Genomic DNA, 24,880 nt, shown 5'->3' with positions numbered 1-24,880 from the left:
TGAGCCTAAATGCATTTATCCATGTTAAACATAATTATTTTAACCTCAGCTTGATTTGGTCTTTTTAACCTTTGTTCTGTTAATGAGATTCTTTTTTCAGCCTGTGTTGAATCATCCACAAATGAGTATTCCACATCATTAATAAATAATGCTAAGGAGGACAGAACCAAGGACAGAAACCGGTAAGACGACTCCTTTTTCTCATCAAATTAGATAATATTCAGCACAGAGTTGTTCAACTGACTACAAGTCCTCTTAATGCTTAAAGCCTCTACCCACACCTCAATCTCCCATTTTAACGCCAGGATTTCCTAGGCAACACTGTCAACCCCACTGAAATCATAGAAGCCTGTGTTTCTCAAAATGAGAGAAGAAACTAAATGTTAGTATCCTTTTCTAGATAAAGTTATAGAAAAGGGCCAAATCATGATTTGTGACATTGCCCCCACTTGCTTCTACCAGTTTTAAACACTGTCTTTTTGGACCTAGATTTTAAGAAATATTGGTGGTTTATATAGCACCATAATAAACTATGACAAAATATACTTTACAAAAATATTAATATTTCCAGGTTAATCCAAGCATCGAACAAAACTCTTCGAGATGAAGTGTTCTATCAGGTGAAAAGCCATTTCCTTTCCTTATGCTACCTCATTCCCTTTTCCAAGAGTTGCCTTCCCTCCCACACCTAGTTTGCCATTTCCAGGGGCTAAGTTCAACTGATGGTCCACAGGTCCTTTCCACACATGCCTGAAACCAGCAATATGCTAAGAACCCTTTCCTCCCTCAAGACTCTGCTACAAATGGTATCTATTATTTCCAGTTATCACTTAATGTGGATAAAGAGTTTATAGAATTTTATAGGTTAGTCAGAAATGCCTTTAGGTAGAGGTTAAGACTATAAGAAACAACTGTCTCATAATTAATAAAATATTTCAAACACCACTGTTATGAACAAAGTTAACTAAGAAAAGTTATATATGAGGTAAGTGCCTTGTGCTATACAAAATCACATTTTTATAATGGCTTTGACTTACGTATTTTCAATCATTCAAGCATAAGTCTTCCAGGTCATTTTGTTCCTAACAGCAGGACAAGCAGGGACCCTCGCCCCACCAAAAAGATACTATTTTAACTAATGTCAGGAAAAGTACAGGGCTACTTTGATGCCTTTTACAGATACCTGTCCTTTTTCTTGTTCTTTAAAGAAAAAAAAGTACCCTTTTTAAAGTGAAAAAAAAAATTTTTCCTCAGAAGTTCATAAAAAGTTTGGGAGAAGCTTAAAAGGCATAAAATTAAATGTATGCAATATTTTTCAAATCAACTATTGGCACACCCCAATAAAATTAGCTGGGCTACTTACTGTATTAAATAAGTGTTAAAAACAATTAGAAATACATTGTGAATAATAAAATACATTTTGAAAGTAATAGCATATTTTCAAATTTAGAATTTTTAAATAATAATGTAAATTTATAGCTCACTTCTAAGATCTGAGGACCTAAACTACACAATTATATGCAAAAGTGTAGTTACCTTTCACTTAGATGATGAAAACTGCTGCTTTCATCTTGGTGTTCATCTTCAAAACTTAAATTGGACCAGCTACCAGTGCTGTCATCACCAATACTGAGGTTCATCTGCTGGCTACTGACAGACTCGGTTGACTGAAAGTCTTCTATTTCTTTTGAACTAAAAAGAAGAAAAAAAGAAAAAAAATCAAATTGAAAGCATCCCAGATTCTGAACTTACAAGACTATCAATTTGATGACAAAGATGATAAAAACAAGAAATGGTATTCGGAATCAGACCAGTGGCTCATGTAATCCTTTATTTGAGTCTGCCAACAAACAGACTGTAGGATAGCGTATTAATTTCAAAGTTAACTGAGGTACCCACCAACAGCCATAACTTACTTTGTTAATCTACAATGGATCTATCCCTAGGGCATTATTTCTCTAAATTCTACTTAAAGCAGTTCATTTTTCAACTGAGATACCATGGGGCAGTACAAGTTCCTAAGTTATCATCTGCTTTGTAAAACAGTACTTTTATTTATGTTAAAGGAGTCTCTTTCTGGCTTTAAGAACAAAAAAGTCGTTCAAGAAATTCTAGTATTGTCAACCAAGCCTGTATTCAAACTAACCAAATCTCTTCAAGATTTTGAACATAGATCATAACCCCTTTCATTTTTCTCAATAAGAGGCATTTATACTTTTATTCCATCATCACAAGAAAGTCCATTCACTGCTCAACTATTTTAATTGTCCCACTACATTTTATGTTCAACAAAGTAGTTCAAAGTGATGTTTCCATAAAAAGAAAAAATGTCAGTCTTCGGATCAAAACCTTCCAATGGCTTCCCACCAAGCCGAAGAGCCCAAATCCTTAAAACATACTGCCTGTCCCCTCTTATAACATCCATCTGAACTCCTACTGTTCTCCCTGGCCCACTCCTCCTATGTTCTCCCTGGCCCACTCCTCCCACTTCAGCAATACAAGCCTCTCTGTTGTTTCCCAAACATGCACAGTCCCACCCCTAGGCCTGGAAATCTGTTCTCGGTGACTCCCACATGACTTATTCTCATTTCACTTTTGGTTTTTGGCTCAAGTATCACTTTGCCAGTATTGTTTCCCCTGCTACCTATCCAAAACTGTAAACCAGCCCTAATGGCCACCGCCACTGTCACCACCAGCACTCTCTAACTCCCTAACTCCCTACCTTGCTTTATTTTTCCCCCAAAGCACTTATCACTATGTGACATACTATATATTTTACTTACCTATTGTCTTATTCCACTATAACATAAGCTCCAAGAGAATGCAGATTTTTGCCTGTTTTACTTACTTCCGTATCCCTAGTGCTATCCTGAGAATAGCCCCTGAATTGCCCCCCATTTTTTCAGCTATTCTAATTTTGTAAGATACAGAATGATACTGAGCATTCCAAGCATAGGCACATTATAGTTCTGAACCATTGATAGATTACTACTTTGTTTTTTTGAATACTTTTCCTAATATGTGCCACATTCTCATGGTTTTTGGCTGAAATGACCCAAAGGATGAGGTCCAGAGAAGAGTTTATAATGACTGTGAGGTTATTTTGGCTCGGAATGATAGCTTAGAATATAATCGTTTTGTTGGCTAAAAATGCACTATCAGCCAGGCACGGTGGCTCATGCTTGCAATCTCAGCACTTTGGGAGGCTAGGGCAGGAGGATTGCTTGAGCTCAGGAATTCAAGATCAGCCTGAGCAACATAGTGAGATCTCATCTCTACAAACAAACAACAACAAACAAAAATGAATAAAAATGTACTATCACATAATTTCCCAATTGCATTCACATGCCACCTCTCTGTTCATTACAGTTTGTGAAATATTTATGGTCATGTTCATGAATCAAACAAAAAGGGACATCAGGTGAAATAATACCTTAAAGAATAATCCATCTGAATGAATCTCCTTTCAAGTTTGAAAGACAAATTTAACTTTAGAAATAAAAAATGTTAAACGTAAACTCTACACACTAGAGTCAGCTTTCCTTAGTCAGTATTTACAGAACCCTAGCACAATTATTAAGAAGAGAAGCAGGAAAATAATTACTCCAGCCTTAATAAAAAGCTGAAATTGGACAGCACTGGCTTACAGGAAGAACTTTAGGGGCTATCTACTCACCCAACTCTAAGAAGGAAAAGTGGAAATTACTGAGAAAATCAATAACAAAGGCATTTGCTAGCCCCTGAGAGTGATGTCTTAAAAACTTTAGAGGACAGTCTCTTTTCTTCCCATGAGGGTGGGAGGAAAGGGGGATGGATGGGTCCGTAGGGCAGACAGGACTGAACTGAGGAGGAGTAAAAAGTAAAATAGCCTGAAGCAACCTGTATGAGGAAAATTATTTCAATTGTAAAAAGGCCTAATTTATTACCTATTCATGAGAATATTTATTAACAATTTATTATGTTTATTATCATACTAGGAACTGGTATGTAGTGAAAACGAAAATGTGGATCTAGGACAGAGGTTCGCAATTGTTTTCTGTAAGAGGCCATGATATGGTTTGGCTCTATGTCCCTACCCAAATCTCATCTCAAATTGTAACCCCCAGGGAGGGACCTGGTGGGAGGTGATTGGATCATGAGGGCGGCTTCCTCCATGCTGTTCTCATGACAGTGAGGGAGTTCTCATGAGAGCTGATGGTTTTAAAAGTGTCTGGCAGCTCCCCCTTCTCTCTCTCTCCTGCTGCCTTGTGAAGAAAACACTTGCTTCCCCTTTGCCTTGTGCCATGACTGTAAGTCTCCTGAGGCTTTCCCAGCCATGCAGAACTGTGAGTCAATTAAACCTCCTTTGTTTATAAATTACTCAGTCTCAGGTGGTATCTTTATAGCAGTGTGAAAATGAACTAATACAGGCCAAACAGGAAGTACATAGGCACTGCTGGTCATACAGCCTCTGTCCCAACTACTCAACTCTGCCATTATAGCACAAAGGCAGCCACAGAAATGTGTAATTGAATGAGCATGGTGGTGTCCCAATAAAACTTTATTTATAAATACTGAAATTTGAATTTCATATAATTTCCACATCACAAAATATCATTTGATTTTTTTCAACCATTAAAAAAAAACATGAAATCTGTTCTTAGCTTGCAGTCCATACAAAAACAACCAGTAGGCCACATTGGCCCACAGACTGTAGTTTGCCAACCCCTGGTCTAGGAGAAAGAAGGCTGCCTGATTAGGGCAAATAGAGACCTCTCCTAGTTCACCAGAAACCTACATCATCTCTCATCTCAAGTAGACGCTATGGAGCAATTGGATTCAAGAATCCTGGCCAAGCTATATCTCCCTATTTTAAGATGGATAAGAAAAGAGGCAGACCATGTCATGGCTTTAACAGAAGCTACTCAAAAATCTGGAATATCATGTGACTCAATTAAATTCCACCTCAACTTAAAGCATTTTCTCTTTCAAGCAGGACTTACAAATATCATCCTATCAACTAATAACACAAGTTGGTCCTGATATCTTCTCAGGGACAAAGAAGGTTTAAACTGAAAAACTGTAACTAAGTTGTTATTAAAGAATCACTGAGCATGGCTGGTTGCGGTGGCTCACGCCTGTGATCCCAGCACTTTGGGAAGCTGAGGTGGGCAGATCACCTAAGGTCAGGAGTTCAAGACCAGCCTGGCCAACTTGGTGAAACCCTGTCTCTACTAAAAATACAAAAATTAGCTGGGCGTGGTGGTGGGTGCCTGTAATCCCAGCTACTAGGGAGGCTGAGGCACAGGAATCGCTTGAACCCGGGAGGCAAAGGTTGCAGTGAGCTGAGATTGTGCCACTGCACTCCAGCCTGGGCAACAGTGCGAGACTCCATCTCAAAAAAAAAAAAAGAATCACTGAGCACAAGAGATAGCTACTGAAAAACAGGACACTGTAGGACTACCAGAAAGAACTGTCCTCTTAGATTGTGAACCAATCAAGAGAAATGGTGTAAGTATGTAAAGAATTTTCACTTTCTTCTTCAGAGTAGTTTAACCATGGTCTTTATAAGAAAACTTACCCTTGTGAATGAAGAAAGGTGTACAAAAATTTAATCTCAGAATAGTAAATTAATATAGTAATATTCTACATTTACTATAGAATAGTCCCCCCTTATCCATGGGGGATATGATCTAAGACACCCAGTGGATGTCTGAAACTGCAGATAGCATCAAGCCCTGTACATACCAGGTTTGTGGACCTGATAACTGAGATACCTTCTAAGTGACTAACAGGTGAACAGCACATGTAGTATGGATAAACTGGATAAAGGGGTAATTCACATCCTGAGTGAGATGGTGTGAGACTTCATCATGCTACTCAGAACATGCAACTTAAAACTTACGAATCGCTTATTTCTGGAATTTTCCATTTAACATTTTCAGATTGAGGAAAGCAAAATTGAGAATAAGGGGGGACTACTATATAAAATTCTCTAGCTATTTATTTAATTCAACTTTACCTATTTCATAGCTCTATGAACTTGGATAAGGTGATTATTTTCTCCAACCCTCATTTTCCAGCTCTGTAAATGGATAACACCTTCCCTCAAAAGGGATCAGGAGACCAAAATATATTAAAGTCATGTGTAGGATATGAAACAATACATAAATGCAACAGGGAAAACTTTTGTTTATGTAGGGTTAAAAATAATCATTCCTTTATGAACAGGACCTAAGACATATAGGATCACATTTATCTTTTTAATTTATCATTAACAACCAAAAGAAACGTGAAACTTACCTGCTAACAGCATGCCCAACATTTGTGACAGCTGCTGTCATGGTTTCTGTGGCAAGGCTTTCAGCAAAGCTGGCACCCTCCTGTCCGATCCCACTGTCGGCTGCCAGGCTGGTACTGCTCAGCTCTCGCTCAGCTTTTTCAATGGCTTCAGCAACTATCTTCTCAGCAAGCACTGCCTTCTTATCAAGATTAACATGAATCTGAGGGACACTGAGATGAAAAATCCTAGATTTCTGATAGCGGCTGCTAAATTTTGGATTAGAAGCTGGCTTACTACTGGCGAGAGAACCCTGTCTGAAAAAGTGCTGAGATGAATTTCCAGTGCAATTGTGGAGTTCTTTAAGGTCACAGTATCTGCAAGCTTGACCTGTAAGAGGTGACAACTTTTCTGCATAAGTGACCCTGTCTGCTGATTTTGTGGTCTCAGACACTCGGAACACTGTAGATCCTAGAGTTAGCTCTAGAGTGTCATCCACTACTTTTTTGGCATACTGTTCTACAGCTTGAACAACATTGTCTCCACAACCATATCCATTTAAACTGCCAGTGCTGTGGTAAAACCTGTGATTTTGTGAGGAAGGCTGAAGAGACTTAGGCAATTCTGGTGTAACGTGACACTCATTATCTTCTTCATATCCAGATTTTTCAAACAAGCAAGAATCTGTTAAGGATTTTGGTAGGCCAACTAGAGAGGCTGTCAACTCTTCCTTAGCATCTTTTGTTATGCTGTGAACCAGAGAGGTTGAAAAACTATACAGTTGGGAGACCTCATTTCTATATGGATCCAGGGTCCTTTCACAAGTTTGATTTTTACAAAAGTAACCTTCATTTCTTTTACTTTGTCTCTTTTTGTCTGCTTCTTGGTGGTGCTCTTTGTTTGAAAACATTAACAGTTCCTTGTTTGTTTTCACTTGTGAACTTGGCACAGGGAACATTCTTGAGTTGCACTGCACTTTGGTTGTCTTAGCTGCTTCCTGTAATCCTGATTTAACAGATCGGTAGGCAAGCCTATTGGCATACTGATCCATTATCAACTCACTATTACCACCTTCCTGTTTTAGTATCTGAATAAGGTGACCTGCATATTCATCTGTCACACTTTCACAGCTGGGATACTTATACATCAGACCTGACATACAAGAACTTGGTGGTAATGAAAGAATAAACGGATCCACTTCTCTTGGGTGCACTACAGCCTCTATATCCAACTTCTCTTCTACTTTATAATCTTCGTCACCATCAGCATAACAACTGTTCTTCTTTTGCTTGAAAAGCATACAATTTCGGACTTTTGCTATTTTCTCAGCTTCTGTAATGACTTCTGCTGCCAGATCACCCGCAAAATTGCATAATGTTTTCAAATTTTCGTCTGAGGGGTTTAAAAAAGTAGGCGACACACTTCTTTGACTTTGCACATTTAAGCAAGGGTTTTTAACCTTGGGTTCTTGAATTATTTTGTTATCTAAATGGGAAGCTGCCATTTCAGTTGCAAGAGAAAGGATGTGTGTAGCTAATGCTTCTGCAAACTGAACCTTCTTCCCTGAGTGCTCCGACTTCACATCCACTTCTGGGAGCTCTCCACTTTCACTACTCTCAACTTCTTCAGAAAGAGATCGCATGAGTTTCAACATGAACTCTTCTTTTTCTATAGTATTTTGTTCATTCTCAGACAAACTACCAACAGATGAGTTGTGTGGAGTAGAAGGTGGTGTAGCAGGTGCAAACTCTTTGGCTAATTCTCCCTTGAGCTTTTTAGTTAACTTCTTGATATCCCATTCAGAACTAGCCCGGGATGGTACTAGAGGAGTTGATGGAGGAGTATCAGGTATTACATTTCTGTCTCTGACTTTCTGTTTATCTTCCACATGCAAACCATCTACACAGGTAAGTGCTGTAGATGAGAAAGTATGTGAATGAGGAAAGGGGTTTTCCTGTCCAAAAGACAAGGCCTCAAGTGATGTACTATTCAAGTTATGCTTTTTCAGTGGTTGATCCTTAGCAGATTCCTTCAAGTCAGATTTCTGACCTGTCACAGCTGGACAAGATGGCAGTGTCTCTAGGGAGGATCCATGAACCATAGAAACTTTACATTCTGGAACACAATCCTTTGCAGCTGAAAGTGAGCAGTGAGTTAACTGATTCTGAGAGTCAGGAAATTTGGGAGACTTTTCTGGTGTCAACTGTGATTCTTCTCCAGAAACAGGCAAGCTTTCCTTGTATACTGCATTTTTATCTATATTTGGGATCACTGATTTGCTCTTATCTATGGAATGTTTAATAATAGATTTAGATAACCGGTCAGCAAACATGTCCTTATTGCTACTAGCTTCACTGCATTGCAGCACTGCCTGATCACAGTGGGAAAATGGAGGGGTTTTCTCCTTTAAAGATTTAGTTAAATAATCTGTACGTTCATCAACCATTTTTGTAACTTCCAATGATGTCATTGACTCTAAAGTTTCATTTACTATCGTATGCACCACTGCTGCAGAAAAGTTGCTAATAATTGCAGGATCATTTGGTAATTTTGAGGAACTCTGCATTTCAATATCGTCATTAGTTGGTTTAAAATCATTCTGATTACCTGGATTGTGTTCTGAAGGTAAACAAATATTTCTGAGACAAGCTGCTTTTTCTTCTCTGTTTTTTGTGGCAATATGCACTTGGGCAGAATCACCATTTGAATTACTATCATCAGATGACAGATGAGCCTTGGCCTGACATGCAGTAGATGAAATATGATATGGGAGAAGGGCACTTCCTGCCAAGGGCACCGGTATAGAAGTAACAATTCCAGAAGTACAAAACAAGGCCTGCTGCACTGTGTATTCCTTTTTATATTCCTGCACTGGTTTTGTCACCATAATTGCTTGATTGTGAAAAGAAGGGGAAAACGTGACAGCCTGTGTCGATGGCACTACACTTTCTGCACTCACATACTTGATATTATCCGTAGAGACACTAACTGCTGCCTTTGTTGTAAAGGTCACATCAACTTGTGATAGCTCAATGAATGCTTCCTGTATTACAGATTCAGACAAATCTTTTGCATACAACTTCACTACTTTGTCTTCAAAGTCAAACGACCCACACTGTGGAGATGCAGGCGTTTGAGGATATGAAAACTGACACACCTCCATGATGCCTTCAAAAACAAGCTCTTCAGCAAGATCTGCAGCAAACCTAGCAACTGTGTTTGTGAATATCTGCTTCTTTACATACTGTAAATCTTTTAAGGCATTTGATAAAGCTTCACTCACCAAAAAGTTAGCCAGGCCACTAATGGCACGTTCTTTTAGTGAAAATGCACGCTGCCTTCTCAGCTCATCAAATGCCATCTGCAAAACAGATGATGTCAATTTGATGGCTAAGTGGTACAAAGCATTGGTACATGAAGAGACTCCTTTCTGTAAGTCTTTAAATGCACTGCCAAAACTTTTTTCCACAAGATCTGCTGCAAATTTTTGAATGCTATCTTTAATCATTAAGGATTTATTTTTAGATTTATTTTTTTGATCAAGGTTTCCATGCTTAAAAGTTACAGTTTTATTTTCTCCATGTTTAATACTGTTAATATTTGATAGGGTATTAGTATGGTGGGTACGAAGAACTGAGCCTAGTACTTCACATGAAATGCTTTTTGCATAGTCTTCATAGGTGTAATAAACAGAATCATGATTTTCATGAATCCTATCTCCACCAATATCTGTTTGGCAAAAACATTCAGCTGGAGTACAGCCTCCAAGAGGACTAAAAGCAGAGGATCGAATAGGACTAAATAAACCACTATCTTCCCTTGATGCCTTCACTGGGCGAGGAGAATCCGGAGCATCACACAGGTTACCATATGGAGATTCTGGTTTACGAGGAGTTGGCTTTCTAACATTAGCTGGGAGAGCTGGACGATCAAACTTGAATTTTTGAGGATTCATACATGACTTTCCATGTTTGTGCCCTTTCCTCTGCGATGACTTCCCTATGACGGGATCTTTGTTAAACAGGCAAGTCTCTAAAGTTTGTTCTAGTTCATCAAACTGATCAAAACTATCAAAAAATTCACTTACTTCTGAGTCTGAATCCTCTATATCATCTTTCATCACAGGAATTTTAGGCAGCTCAAGTTTTGCTTTTAAGCTTTTTTGATATCCCTCTTCATCCAAGAAAATAACAGGACTTGGACTTGAACATTCTGATTCAGATGAGTAGGCAGGAGAAGACGAAAAAAATGTTTTCTGTAAATCACTATCTTTATCTGAAGCATTAGATGACCTATAGAAACTCCTTTGGGTCCAAGGCTCTGAAATTGATGTTGTGACTGAAGTTTTCACAGAAGGTAGTTCTTTATGTCCCAGGACATTCACTGAGGAAGTTGAGGGTTTAGCCAATGACTTCTGCTGTCCAGAGCTAATGAGAATCTTTAAATCATGGGTTTCTAAATGATGACCAGTAACCGTCTGGGAAGCAGCATCACACTGGCTCCTTAGCACAGTAATGTTCATTCCTATAGGAAAAGAATGAAATGGTGAAATTATTTTTGAACAAAACTTTTTGGAAATTAACTTAAATCCATGGAATAAACTGACTTTAAACATATAATATTTATGTGTATCTTCTAAACTATGTTTAACAGAAAGATTCACCCAAGTAACATTTGAAAGTAAATATACTGTTTATAAAATAATTTCAGTTTACTCTATGTCTAGGGATACCTGGTCTATGGGATGTTTTGCATGCTGTCACGCATGTTAGAAAAATTACCGTGGAGACTCTGCCAGCTAACTCTTCCAAAATTGGAACCTAGGAATGTTCCAGACACTTAATGATGTAACCAGTGCGTGAACAGCACCAACTAAATATGAAAACCTGAAATAAGCAAAACTGAAAACCAGATTACAATGAACTTAAAAATCATAAGGAATTTCCTTAGGTAATCAGAAAAAAAGTTAAAAGGTTTAAATTGAATCAAATCTCAACATAAATTTCAACTGAACAAGCCTGCCTTAAAATTTTCAAAACTGAAAAATTTTAATTCCCTATTTTAGGAAAAAGTCTAATGAAAAACAAACCATCATTGTATGGCTTTGAAGTCTCTTCCTCTTCTAAGTGCTCAAAAGCAGTGACAAAGTCATCCTCTATGGATGACACAGACTGGTTAGTATCATCATCATCTTCATCAGTGGTCTCAAGTTGGTGCTTCTGATGCAAGAATGTGTCCAAGGTGTACCTTATACCAGTAGCATATTTACTTAGGAGACTAAAGATAAAATCAATCCTAAGTCTTGGTGATGTAGGTGACACTCTCATGACACAAAGCATTCCAGAAGGATGACTCTTGGGAAAGATAAAAGATAATAAAAACAATTTTAATTTCAAATACAAAACAACATGAAGTAAAGCCTAGATATAAGACAATCTCAGAGAAAAAAACAAACAAGAAATTCATGCATCCTGAAAAGCTCCTTGGTTTTGTAATGTTTACTTCTTAATTCTTTCTCTACATTTTTCACTTTCCAGTCCTTTTTTCTCCCATCTTCTTTTATCCAGGTATTCAAATTCTACCCAGTCTCCTGAAATGTTATGAAACTTACTATCCATTCCTTTGAGCAATTATGTTTTCCTGTATTACTGTACAGCCCTATGATTTTCCTTAATCATTCACCTATCTCACTAACTATTATAAATTGTTTGGGGGCAGCAACCAAGTTCTATTTTCTTTTATTTTTAATCCCATTTTCCCGTAGTTTCAAGTATGATGCCATCTTCCTTCCTATCACAATTGTTAAAAGTCTACTCCTTTTACTTAAATTTCCCTAGCATTACAACTTACAATGTTTATAGCTTTAAAAATACAAGTAACCAGATTTTCCCCCTCATACTACTTTTTTCAAGTAAATACTGATGAAATTATTTATTCAAAAAACTAGAAATCAAATATAATAGCTTATCACCTCTTATATCCTAGCAAATAAAGCAAATACGAATAAAGAACATAATTAAGGAAATGAAGCAAGCAGTTCTAGTTTTATTGGCAGACCTTATAAAGAACAACATAGCAGTTTTTTTAAAACTAAAATAATCCAAATTTTAAATTTTCTGGTTCAATTGTATATGTCTTATCTCTTAGAATGCAAAGCATTTTCTCTGATGCATTATCAACAAAATCATACTTGGTAAAGAACTAAATGCTGAATATTATAAAACTAACCACCTGTAAGAAATGGTAACATTTTTATTTATAAAGAACACATCAGATGTCCACTTTACATGGAATTTTTTTAAACCAGAAAATGAACTGAAGTACATTCTCTAAAACATATAGCGTAACATTTATATAAATTTGAAATTGGCCATAATAGGGAAAAGTCACTGTAGCTTATACAAAGGTAAAAGTAGTTCAAGAAATCCAGAAATAATAAATTTTCAGAAAAAATTAACATGTACTTGCATACCATCTACGGAACTTCACAGTTAAAAAATATAATTTATAAGATATGACCAAAATTATTATATCCTTCAGGGATGTCAATGCTTCATGAGTTATATTTCTTATGAATCATATTTCCTTGAGATACCATTTAAAAAAAACAAATGTCATCCAAGCATTTAAAAGTTTAATCATCTTTATCAAATATAGTAAAATTTGCCCTAAAAATCTCATTAGAAATTATCTACAAAAGTTACCTGATTTAGAGGATCACTGCTTATATCTAATGGTTTATTTATATTCTTCATACAAATAATTTCATTTTCATTTAGACTGCAGAAGTGGAGTGAATTCAGAATATCTGGAAGTTCCAAAGAAACTGCAGCTAAATCCTGATTTAAAATAATAACAATAAGTAACACTGTAGAGTAACACTTTTGTTAAGGTTCCTATAATGTGGACCCTATCCAAAAATTTTAAGGTCTACTGGCTAGTGAATTTCCTGGTTCATAATAGTTAACATATACAGTTTATTATTCACAGATAATTTTTCAAAAATTCAAAAATAAAATATACTAAAATTATTAAATACTGGCTATCCCCGTAGCCTTTAAAATGTACTGATATCAAGCTATAAAAAAATTGTACAGGGTACCTAACACATCCATGACAATTAAGCATTTAATAGTTTTTAGCAATGTCAACATATAGGTCTTAACTTAACTTTATGAAATTTTTTTCATACAAAATTTTTTGCTAGAGAATGTACATCTTAAAAACTTTTTTTTAAAAACTCTGTACAATATAATCCGTTTTTCTATCTTTCCTCTCCAAGGTATTGTATTAGACTTTAACTGATAATTTTAATGAAGATTAAAGGAAAAGAAAATCGCTTTTATTTCTTCTTCTTGTTTGCCCTTTATACACAAATATTTTACCCAGCTAAAGAATTATTAAAGTCTTTGACCCTTTGTAGAGTACTTTCCTTTATAAACATGGTTTTATCAGTAACTCTTAAAGGAGAAGAAGAACATTAAAGAAATATCTTGGAATACTTCTCTTTCCAGCTATGTATGTTCTCAAGAATATATCCTCTCTTGTTCCTTCTGTCCAAATTATTTCCTTCAAGCAAGGCCACAATCAAAATATACAGCAGTTTTTGCCCATAATCACCTGATATGCATTATTCAGAAAGACCTAAAAATGTTATTTCCTCCTCTATGAGGAGACACTTTACTGCCACAAAAGGAAATATGTAGGAATCACAAATTTTTAAGAAGCAGCACGAGGGAAAAAGAAAAGTATGCCTATCATATGTACAGGAACTTCAACCACTGTTTATGTAACTGTGAAGCTTTCCTTTGCTGATCCCAATCTCAAACATCAGTCCCTCTGTCAATAACTGCCTAAATCAAACAGGCTAAATTTTTGCATTGGCTAATTGTTAATTTTTACAAATCTTACCTTTTAAATTTAACTCAATCTTAACTAAAAACATAAGAATTTTTACTGTTAAGGTCAAAATTATTAAAGCCATCAAAATAAACAAACAAGTCATACATTCTGTATTATACACAGAATGCAGAAAAAGTCAGTCTGCGGTTTGCAACCTTCTCAGATAAATGACTTTTGTGGTCAAACCTAAAGCTGATTTCCATGACAAGAATACTCAGTAAAAATGCTAAAATTCACCATACCTGTATATGAGCAGCATCTGTCTCTTCATTAAAACCCAGAAATGTGACCTGAGTAAAGAACAAATAAACCTCCATTAATTTGAATTTTTAAATCTTTCAGGCTGGTGACAGAGCTGACAAACAGGAAAAAACAGACAAAGCATTAAAATGCTGTCTGCTTGAAAAGGATTTTTTTCAAAGATGACCCAAAAATATTTTTCACCAAAGATTGGGCTCCAAAACGCAGTTCTTAAACCTCATCCATTCTCCCTCACTAGCAAGTTCAATCAATTCTAACCCCAAAACATATTTCAAATATATCCACTTCTCTCCATTCCCCAGCCACCCTTCTCACCTACACTAGTACAATCCTCTCCCACCTGGTCCTATTACCATGCCACCTCCCTATTCAAACTCCTCCATGCTTCCCATGGCAAAATCCTAAGTGAGGTTACCTAATGCTTTCATCCTTCTACCATTTTCACTTACACACGAGCCCCCTTTCTGGGTCTGGAACACGCCCTGTACATTCCTGCCTAAGGACTTCACAGTTGCGCCCTCAATCTGGATCTCTCTTCCTTGGATGGTTACATGCCTGGCTTCTCATTCTTCAAGTTTCGATGCAAGTGTCACCTCCTCAGAGAGGCCTTCCCCCTGGGTAGACTCCTGAGGCTACTTCTTCATTGACTCTGTGATACCACCATTTATTTCCTTCAATATCCTTATGTAGAGATTACTCTGCAGAACTTTATATAAACAGACTTTCTAAAGAATACCTAATGCATGAAGAACTGTCACATTATTAAGTAAAAAGGACAAGTCATAGAAAAATGATTTACAGCCTGCATACAATTTCAACCTTATTTTTAAAAACATATGCATGGAAAATAATACTGGAAGGCAATACACCAAACTATAAGCAGTGATTAACTCTGGATGATGGAGCTATTTTTTTCCCATTCTTTTCCCCTCTGCATTTTTTCCCTAAGTCATAAGATCAATGATAGTCATTTTCTTTGTTCTACTTTGAGTATTTCTTATTTTTCTACAAAGAATATATACTGGCCAGGTGCAGTGGCTCATGTCTGTAATCCCAGCACTTTGGGAGGCTGAGGTGGATGGATCACTTGAGGCCAGTTCAAGACCAGCCTGGCCAACATGGTGAAACCTCGTCTCTACTAAAAATACAAAAAATTAGCCAGGCATGGTGGTGCATGCCTATAGTCCCAGCTACTCGGGAGGCTGAGACAGGAGAATCACTTGAACCCTGGAGGTGGAGGTTGCAATGAGCTGAAATCACGCCACTGCACTCCAGCCTGGGCAGCAGGGCAAGACTATGTCTCAAAAAAAAAGAAAAGAAAAAAATATATATATACTACTTTTATAACCTGAAAAAGTGTTACTTTTTACATTTATATTCTCTATGTATTTGGCATCATAGTAAGACATTTTTTCCATTTGAAGACAGTGTAGTAAACTGTCCACTAAGCAACCACTGTGGCTAAAAAATATGCAATACTTAAATGACGGCAATATTAATAATCGATTCTCAAGAATGTGGGGACAATAGTATAGTCAGAATATAGCAACACTGAATATATTTTCGATCTATTTCTGATGATTCAGAAGCAAGTCAGAATCTTATATTACTCTGAGATCTTTATTCTGATTAATTATGGCTATTACTTCATGTAAGTGTTACATACAGTTAACTTCTAGGCATCTAGGTGAATTGCTAACCTCTAGGAGCCTGTCTCCTTATCTGTAAAACTTAAGGCAATACAACTTCCCTCTCATAGTTCTGAGGTTAACTGGATAATGTAGAGGAAAGTGCCTAGCACATTACAGGCACTCAATAACAGATAGGCAAATAACTAATTTCCTTCCTTTATTTGAAAAGATACTCAGAGATTTGCACACCCTAAAATGGAATAGAAATTCCATCTATTCCTTCAAGTTTGCTTTACTGAATACAAGAGAGAAAATAAGCTGGCATAGGGTTTTGAAGATGCCGGGGGAGTTTTATCTTTCCCATTGGTCAAGAAAGGCCTCACCAAGGAATGTGGGCTTGGAAAAGCACTGCGACCTATCCGAGCTGGAAAACCACTGGAGGACAGGACACAGGACATCATTTCATAGAAGATGAGCATATGTATTAGGCCTGTTATGTTCTGCCACTGTTTATTTGGAAACAACCAAGTAGATTAAGAGTGGCTTGGTTTTGCTAAAGTAAAATGAAAAAGGTTAGCAAAGAAAATAATAGTGAAATTAAGCTGACACAAAAAGAGGATGAGGCACCAGAACACTACAGGCCTAAAACATATGCTCATCTTCCTATGAAATGACGTCAAATAGAGAATTTCTCAAGGAATATTAAGAAAATCATCCACCCGAAAGAGAATACATACAGTCCCCAACTTATGATGGTTGGACTTCTGACTTTTTAACTTTACAATGGATTTATGAGGTCTTAAATGCATTTTCAACTTAGAATATTTTTGATGAAAAATGGATCTATCAGGATGTAACTCGATCATAAGTCCAGGAGCATCTATCTATAACCACGATTTTATTAGAACGCTTATTTCAAAATAAAATGTTTTAACTTCAAATATTCATCAGTTGTGAGCTGCAACGACCTAATACATCTCGTATTTGGTAACAAATGTGATGATGAAGTATGGATATATTATAGAAAAGGATCTTACTCTTTTTATAATAATAAATTCAAACAAAGATTTGAAACACTGGATGTAGCAGAGAAATAGGTGAGCAAGGTATATTATCTTATCCTCAAGTAATAGAGTAAGTATCTTAATTTCAAAGATAAATTTATCACTACTTTTTCATTTTTAATCAAAGCACTGAATTTAAACAGTCAAGAAAATAACCCAAAAAATCAACATAAGAATCATGCATTTGTTCTATGTTTCAGAGTAGAAAAATTCATATTAAAGTATCAGTTGCTGAATATAGTAGGCATCATCTAATGTAATGCTATATATCCAATTAGTACTCTGCATAAAATAAATGTGCTCATTTGTTTGAGTTCATTGTCAATTAAGAAAATTATTTTAGCCAGTATTTAAAACAGGTACTTCTTTTTTTTCCCCTCTCCCGCCCACAAAACAGGTACTTCTGATACATGTAACAACAAATAGAGATTTTAGGCATTTTAAAAATAGATCATAGAGTCCTACAAAGATGCATGAAAATATGCTGTGCATTATTAGGAAAGGGTTTAGAAAGTAGTATGTTAAACCTCAGTTAAATTGGCATGCTCATCCTGCTGTAAACAGTCCTCTGCTGTTACACTGCATAGTTCCTTCTGACTCTGCAATAAAGACTTTACAGACTGGAACACATCTTCACTGAAGCTCTGCAGGGGAAAGAAAGCAAAGATATTTCAAATTTATTTAATTCTAAGACAAGGGTAAGAGATCCTGGAGATGTTTTAGATAGTCACTCATTCTCTAACTAATATTCACTGGCACCTTTTGATACTGAATGCGGAACTCAATTCCACTGAGAAGAAAAGCTCCATTCAGCTGAAAAGGTTTAGGCAGAGTTTCACATGCCCAAAACACATACTACTGGAGCCTGGGCATTCAACTCACTAGAAGATCACGTGAGATCTCATACCAGGTTCACTTACTCTTACCTTACACTAAAACTTAACAAACTGCATATCTGATTTCCAAGTCACTGGCGTAGAACAGAAGCAACAATTTATATGATTGAATGAGATGATGTGGGAGCTATGGTAAGGTGCACAACAGTGATTACTCCCTTAACAACAGTGATTACTCCATTAACAAAGTTGGAGACAGAAAAATAAGATAATAATCCAAAATAAGGTTTTCCATGGATCTTAAGGAAGCTGTCTGATGAAAATGAGAGGGGATTCCAAATTTCAGGGTGAGATGTTTGTCACAAGTACAAGGAAAAAGTTACATAAAGAAAATAATGAGTATTATAGTCAGGCATAAATAGAACACTTATTTCCTTCTACCTTATGCCCCCTTCCACTGACTTGTCAATCTGCTCTTCAATCAGAAATGTCCTTACTTCCCAGTCTTCCCATGTAGAAATCCTACCCATCCCAAGACCTGTGAAGATTTTTCCATTCCTTAGTCCTAATAAATCTCTCTCAAAGTTCCTGCTGTATGTTGTGCACTAAGATCATTTAATCCACACCAAAACATATTATAATTATTGGCTGGGCACAGTGGCTCACGTGTGTAATCCCAGCACTTTGGGAGGCGGGTGGATCACTTGAGGTAAGGAGTTCGAGACCAGCCTGGCCAACATAGCGAAAGCCCGTCTTTACTAAAAATACACAAATTAGCCTGGCATGGTGCCACGTGCCTGTAATCCCAGCTGCTCGGAAGGCTGAGGCAGAAGAATTGCTTGAACCTGGGAGGTGGGGGTTGCAGTTAGCTGAGACTGCGCCACTGCACTCCAGCCTGGGCGACAGAGTGAGATTCCGTCTCGAAAACAAAAAACATATAATTACTATAATCAGATTCTTTCCTACCCATTAAAACAAATTATGGAAGTCACAGACTGTGTTTCACTCACTTTGTTTCCCCATATTTCAGAACCTCACACTAGATTAACTCAAACAGCTGCAATCTTAATAAATTAAAATAAATGGAAATCTTTAGTCTAAGAGGTACAAATATAAACTCAAAGAATTTATGATAAAAAGCTGTACTGTTACATTTGAATCTGACCTGTCATTACAAATTCGTAATTCTTTGAATACATGTACTACCTTTTTTCCACTGAAAAGTCTTAGAAACAATGACCTTCAGTGGCAATGAGCATAGTCAGCACCCAGCTTTTGGTCTGTAAATATCTATCACCAATAAAAAGAACTAGATTTCCCTGGGGAAATGGCTGGTTCCAGGTCTGAGGCTGAGAATGTATGAAGCGAGCCTGGAACATCTAACTGTGCCAGAATGCAAGGAAATGCTCAAAGACTAATAGGGTAATTTCAAAAAACACAGAAGCCAGCTTGAAAGAATTCCCACTGGCCAAATATGGGACAATGTGGAATCAAGAAGAATGAAAATGGTAATGAATTATGACTACTGGATTAAAAAAAATCTGTGAGTCCATTAAAAGAGACAAAGTCAGAGGAGCTCCTTTACCTAAAAATGCTGGCTAGTATGGACAGAATGACAAAGTTAGAAAACCCCATTTGTAAACTCCCAATGCAATTACTGATTTAGGAAAGGATTATCCATGTATCCTAAATCTACTGGGTTAAAAGCTGGGGAAAAGGACACTCATACTGTCTCAGAGGATCACCTTATAGTTTATTAAGTGTATTAATCATAAAGAGATTATGTGCATTTATATTGGAGATATCTGGTGGTTATTACCTTAACCACCTAGTCAAGCCTAACATCAACAATATGGACTTCAGATCTGATAGACCGGAATGAACACAACATCACCTTTCAGGTGTTGTGTTGAATCTAATTACAGGGAAAAACAAATGAACCCAAATATAAAAATATTCTACAACACAACTGGCCTAGACTCTTCAGAAGATTTGCTGCATGAGAAAAGAATTTAGACTATTGGAATGGTCTAGAATGGGGAAGACCAAAGAGATACAATCCCCAAATACAGTGTGTGAACCTTGACCAAATACAGTGTGGATCCTAGAAGAGAAGCAAGGAAAAAGTTACAAGGATACTTGAGACACAGGGAAATCTGTGTTTGGAATGCATGCTAGATGATGTTACTGAATTAATGATTTTCAAAGAGGTGGTAATGATACTGACATACTTAAAGGTATGATGCTAACCGAGGGTGAATCTGAGTGAAGACTATATGAGGTGCTCATTGTACTAGGTTTTTTTCTCAACTTTTCTGTGGGCTTGAAAATATTCAATATTTTAAACAATTTTGTTTTCCTTAATAAACGGGGATTTTCACACTAATTTAGAAACAGGAAATCAAAACAGGAAAAAATATGTGAAATCTGAACGTGAACTGTCAATATAAACTCATGACATGGTAAGTGCAAAGGCAACTCCTAGTATCCAGATCTTGGGTTTTAAATACTATTCAGGGTTCTTTAAAAAAAAAATAGCCAATTTCAGGTCTGAGGAAGGTAAAGTAGGTGAAATTAGGTCATCCTGTACCAAAAGGATACAACCCGAAAGTGAAAAAGCAATCAAAGTTATGAGCCTGAGACAAAAGGATATAGGTACCTACTTGGAGGGGCTCTCAGGTATCAATTTTGGAAAAATTTGAGCAACTTACATAGATGAATTAATGACTGTAAAGAAATAAAAGGTTATAAAATATAGAACTGCAAAAATCCATGAGTCCAGAGCATTACAAATAAATTAGTGAATTAATGTGGGGAAATAAACTCACTTGCTACCACTGGTGTTAACTATGATGCCCTGTCATTAATCTGAAAACTGGTAATTAAAGGGCATTTGCCCTGCCTCTATAGGAGATATTATATAGTTCATCTAAGGTGAATGAGGGAAGCTTTTCTTTAATACCAGCAAATAAATGTGAAAGGAATGGTAGAATTAGGAAAATCACCATTTTGCAACTCCCATGAAATAATGAATTCAGGAAAGAGTAAGCAAGGGATGCCAAAAACATTAGCTCAATGGTTGTTGGGGGAAAAAAAGGATATTTGCACACAGCCAAGTATCATCACAGATTATGTGCTAACCAAAAAACAGAAAATGTACTTTTACAATGGAAATGCTAGCAGGGTTATCACCTTAGTCAACTGATCAATCATAGCATCACTGATCATGGGAAAACCTGAAATTCTGTCCTCACATCACCCTATAAAGTATTCTTGCCATAAATGCTTAACCTGATCCAATTAAACCTTTAAACATAACTTCTACTTTATGTGAAATATACAAGGGAGAGGATCAAATTAAATAGCAATATGAGAAAACAACCAGAGAAATCCAGATGTGAAACATGGTACAAGAAAATAAAACTAGCCTGGCCTATTCAAGATGTCAGAATTGAATATAAAGAAAAAAAGGAAAAATTCTTTCAAACCAAAAGAAATGCTAAGTCCTAACTGCCAAAGGCAACAGAGACTAAGAGGCTAGACTGGATCCAAACAGGGGCAGAGTGAACTATAAAAGATATTTTGGGGGTAATACAGGAAATCTGAGTATGGCTGAGTATTAGATATATGGGAATTTATTTTTCTTGGATGTGTTCATGGTATTAGTGTTATGTGGGAAGATGTTGTTATTCCTGGGAGAAGCATGCTGAAGTGTTCAGGGTGAAGAAACATTATGATCATAACTTGCAAATGGTACTGCCTGAAAGTAAATACACACATACACAGACACAAAGCAAACAAGACAAATTATTAACTACTGTTGAATATGGGTGGTAGGTACGTGGGTTTGTGTGTGTATTATGCTTTTAACTTTTCTATGTGTTTGAAATTTTTCATAATAAAATGTTAGAAAAAATTACTGGGGTAGAAACTATAGCTATTTTTAATTTTGCAACATTAATTCCCAATAAATATTTAATGTATCTCTATATTTAATGCAAATTAAAGTGAAATCTAAAGAATTCAAGTATATCTTTCAATTTCCACAGTAGCCAATAGGGAAGTGTCTGACATTAAGATGCACCAAGATGTAGAAGGTGGTGTATGTGTGTGCATAACTGTTTATATAAACAGTATGTAATATCTGGATTCACATACTTTTATCTAAAAGGGATTCCAATAATTCAAGTTGAATTCAAATTAAATCTTTACTGAGTGCCTAATATGGACAATACGTTGAATAACAAAAGACACTAACCTGGTAATAATAGTATGAAATTTCAGCTGCTGTCTAATCCCTGAATCTCTGGCAATGTATGGGGTAAATATTCAAGTCAGGTAGCATCATTCTTGAAGACCATGGTTATCAGTTTGCTATTATATTTTGTATATATTATTAGTTATTAGTTTAAAGCCAGCAGTATAATCAATTTAAAGCTATGGGTCTAGTTGCTAATCTGAAAAAGTATAATAAATACACTATAGTTTACAAAGAGTAGAAACAGAAAATAGTTTTTATTGTACTTTTTTCAAATTAAAAAGTGGACCTATTAAATTTAAAGGTAATTTACCTCAAAACATATGGAGCATATTACTTTAAAATGTAATTGGCCAGACGCAGTGGCTCACACCTGTAATCCCAGCACTTTGGGAGGCCGAGGCAGGCAGATCACGAGGTCAGGAGATCGCGATCATCCTGGCTAACACGGTGAAACCCCGTCTCTACTAAAAATACAAAAAAATTAGCCAGGTGTGGTGGCGGGCACCTGTAGTCCCAGCTACTCGGGAGGCTGAGGCAGGAGAATGGCATGAACCCAGGAGTCAGAGCTTGCAGTAAGCCAAGATCACGCCACTGCACTCCAGCCTGGGCAACAGAGCGAAACTGTGTCCCAAAAAAAAAAAAGTAATTAACATACTGTTTAAGGATAAGTTTACTTTCTATTTTGCAGGCATCCTGTAGATTTGGAAGCCATCCTCTTAGACTTAGCAGTCAAACCTATACATCTTTTAGCTCTCTACATAAATGAATGGCAGGCCCAGAAGCTCATAGGAACACTGATAATTAGAATTTGGAAAGATTAGCAAAGGAGACAAGAGTTACCATAAAAGAGAAGGAAACCAAGAAAAACCTATAATGAAAATCAAATATTGTCTTAATGTGTAAGGATTGGTCAATGGTGTCATATAATGCAGAAGATGAAGTCCAGAAAAAGAAATAACAAAGACTGTTAATTATCTTCCAGGCTCCATTCTTCCCTTCTTTGTTCATGGGTAGTGCCTCCAAAGTTTTAGCAAAGACAAAAATGTCAAGAAATGGAAGGTTAACCAAATTGTTTTAAGAAAGGAAGTGAGGAGGTTCCTCCTTAGACTAGAAGGAAGAAAGGATTAAGAATCATATTTTGTTTGCTTGTTACTGATTACCCAACATCTAACATATGGTCTGGCTTATAAGAACTCAAGTGTGTATTTGCTGAATGAAGGAATGAATGAATGGTAAAGCTAAAGGTATATAAGAAAGCTTACACCTGACAGCCTATATTGCAAAAAAGCACATGGATATCTATGTGTAGAGAAAAAATGGGGAGAAAGCACTGTGATCTTTAGGAAATAAAATCACTGTAATCATGATTTTGTATCACTATTTTCATACATGCCAATCTTTGCAGTAGTTCAATGTTACTAATTCAAATAATAAGATTCATTTAAACAAAACATCATAGCTGTAGGACTTAAAAAAAAATCAACATTTTAATTAAAACTTTCACTAAAAGAAACCTAATAGAGTGAACTTACTTTTCTGACAGATGCTTTAGTCTTCATGTGATTGTTTCTGAAAGTCGCCATAACTATTTTTTGTTGTATATAATCAATGAAGAGTTAATCCACAAAACACCTAAAGAAAACATATTAAAACAACTTATTTATTGATCTTAACAATTCAGGCAAGCATTTTGTGCTAAATTAATTTATTTTAACTCAGTCATTAAAAGAAAAATAAAAATGAAAACAAAAATAATCTGAGCACCCCCCCCAATTTACTTGCAATCCAGCAAGAATATTTGAAAAATATATGAATATTGGTACCTTAATGAGATAGAAAATTATTATAAAAATCTTATATTTTGGTTCAAAATTATAAAATAGTTTACACCCTTACCTATTCAATCTCACTGCCCTTTTTTATTGCAAAGTGTCAAAGAGAAAGATCTGAAAAACAAGTTTTTTAAAAAACATTTTAAAAATAGAAGCTTAAGTAGAGAATATTACAAAAAGAATTCCAACTTCCCTGCCTCCCAAGACACTCTTATCTCTATGGCAACAGTGAATGCTCTTGACATTCTTATTTCTTGGGCAGAAGGGTTTGATAATAGACGAATGAGAAATCTGTACATATCAAATTAGATACATTCTTTGTATAGGAAGCTTAAGAGCATACCATTGACAAAATTTCAGAAGACATCCAAGTCAAATGATTACCAGTACTTAACACACACAACACCTGCCAGGTGAAACACTCAAAACTAAGTCTCAACTTTTTAAAGATGCTTTAACATCTTTGAGAACTTAAATCCACTCCAGGCATTAACCACTCGGTATCTGCATTTGACCACAGTATCTTGTCCATTCATTTAAAATCTACTTGTGCTAGATGCTATGGATACAAGAGAAACAAGATAGATATGGCCCTCCTGCATTCAAAGCCTTCAAAGGAAAAAGTTTCATCACAATAAAGAGTAGAAGTGGGGAACTAAATACTTTTTTTAAAAAGTCAAATAAATATTTAAGAAATTCTTAGTTTCAAGTATTTTCAGAAAATCAATCTGGTCTTATCAAGAACTGCCTAGTTGAAGCCAGGCACAGTGGTGCATGCCTGCAGTCTCAGCTACTCGAGAGGCTGATGTGGGAGGACTGCTTGAGCCCAGGAGT

General features: G+C 36.2%; 1 protein-coding gene across 21 annotated transcripts in view, besides 1 other annotated feature; it reads right to left on the bottom strand.

Moving 5' to 3' along the window:
• The window catches only part of AKAP11 (A-kinase anchoring protein 11), a 51,785-nt gene that overhangs the window by 13,116 nt on the left and 13,789 nt on the right, over window positions 1-24,880 (bottom strand). For 9 of the 21 annotated variants that reach the window (XM_011534904.2, XM_047430073.1, XM_011534903.3 and 6 more), the window contains exons 2-9: window positions 24,111-24,160; window positions 23,747-23,846; window positions 17,645-17,761; window positions 14,404-14,451; window positions 12,964-13,098; window positions 11,349-11,613; window positions 6,283-10,783; window positions 1,537-1,692 (exon numbers count right to left, since the gene is read on the bottom strand). In XM_011534904.2, coding sequence (XP_011533206.1) covers window positions 1,537-1,692; window positions 6,283-10,783; window positions 11,349-11,613; window positions 12,964-13,098; window positions 14,404-14,451; window positions 17,645-17,761; window positions 23,747-23,797 — 5,273 coding nt within the window. In that variant the 5' untranslated portion in view covers window positions 23,798-23,846; window positions 24,111-24,160. The remainder of the gene's footprint in view (window positions 1-1,536; window positions 1,693-6,282; window positions 10,784-11,348; window positions 11,614-12,963; window positions 13,099-14,403; window positions 14,452-17,644; window positions 17,762-23,746; window positions 23,847-24,110; window positions 24,161-24,880) is intronic. The other 12 variants (XM_047430077.1, XM_047430076.1, XM_047430079.1 and 9 more) reach the window with 3 other exon arrangements.
• Window positions 10,513-11,712: an enhancer, noted in NCBI's record as "BRD4-independent group 4 enhancer chr13:42872570-42873769 (GRCh37/hg19 assembly coordinates)". NCBI's record gives its function as "activates an origin of replication core promoter dependent on BRD2, P300/CBP, MED14 and CDK7 cofactors, and independent of BRD4, by STARR-seq in HCT116 cells {active_cell/tissue: HCT116}" and the evidence as "EXISTENCE:reporter gene assay evidence [ECO:0000049][PMID:35650434]".

Source organism: Homo sapiens, chromosome 13 (genome assembly GCF_000001405.40).
Source record: "Homo sapiens chromosome 13, GRCh38.p14 Primary Assembly".
NCBI lineage: Eukaryota > Metazoa > Chordata > Mammalia > Primates > Hominidae > Homo > Homo sapiens.
The sequence above is the reverse complement of the archived record's forward strand: the minus strand, read 5'-3'. Positions and strand labels throughout refer to the sequence as shown.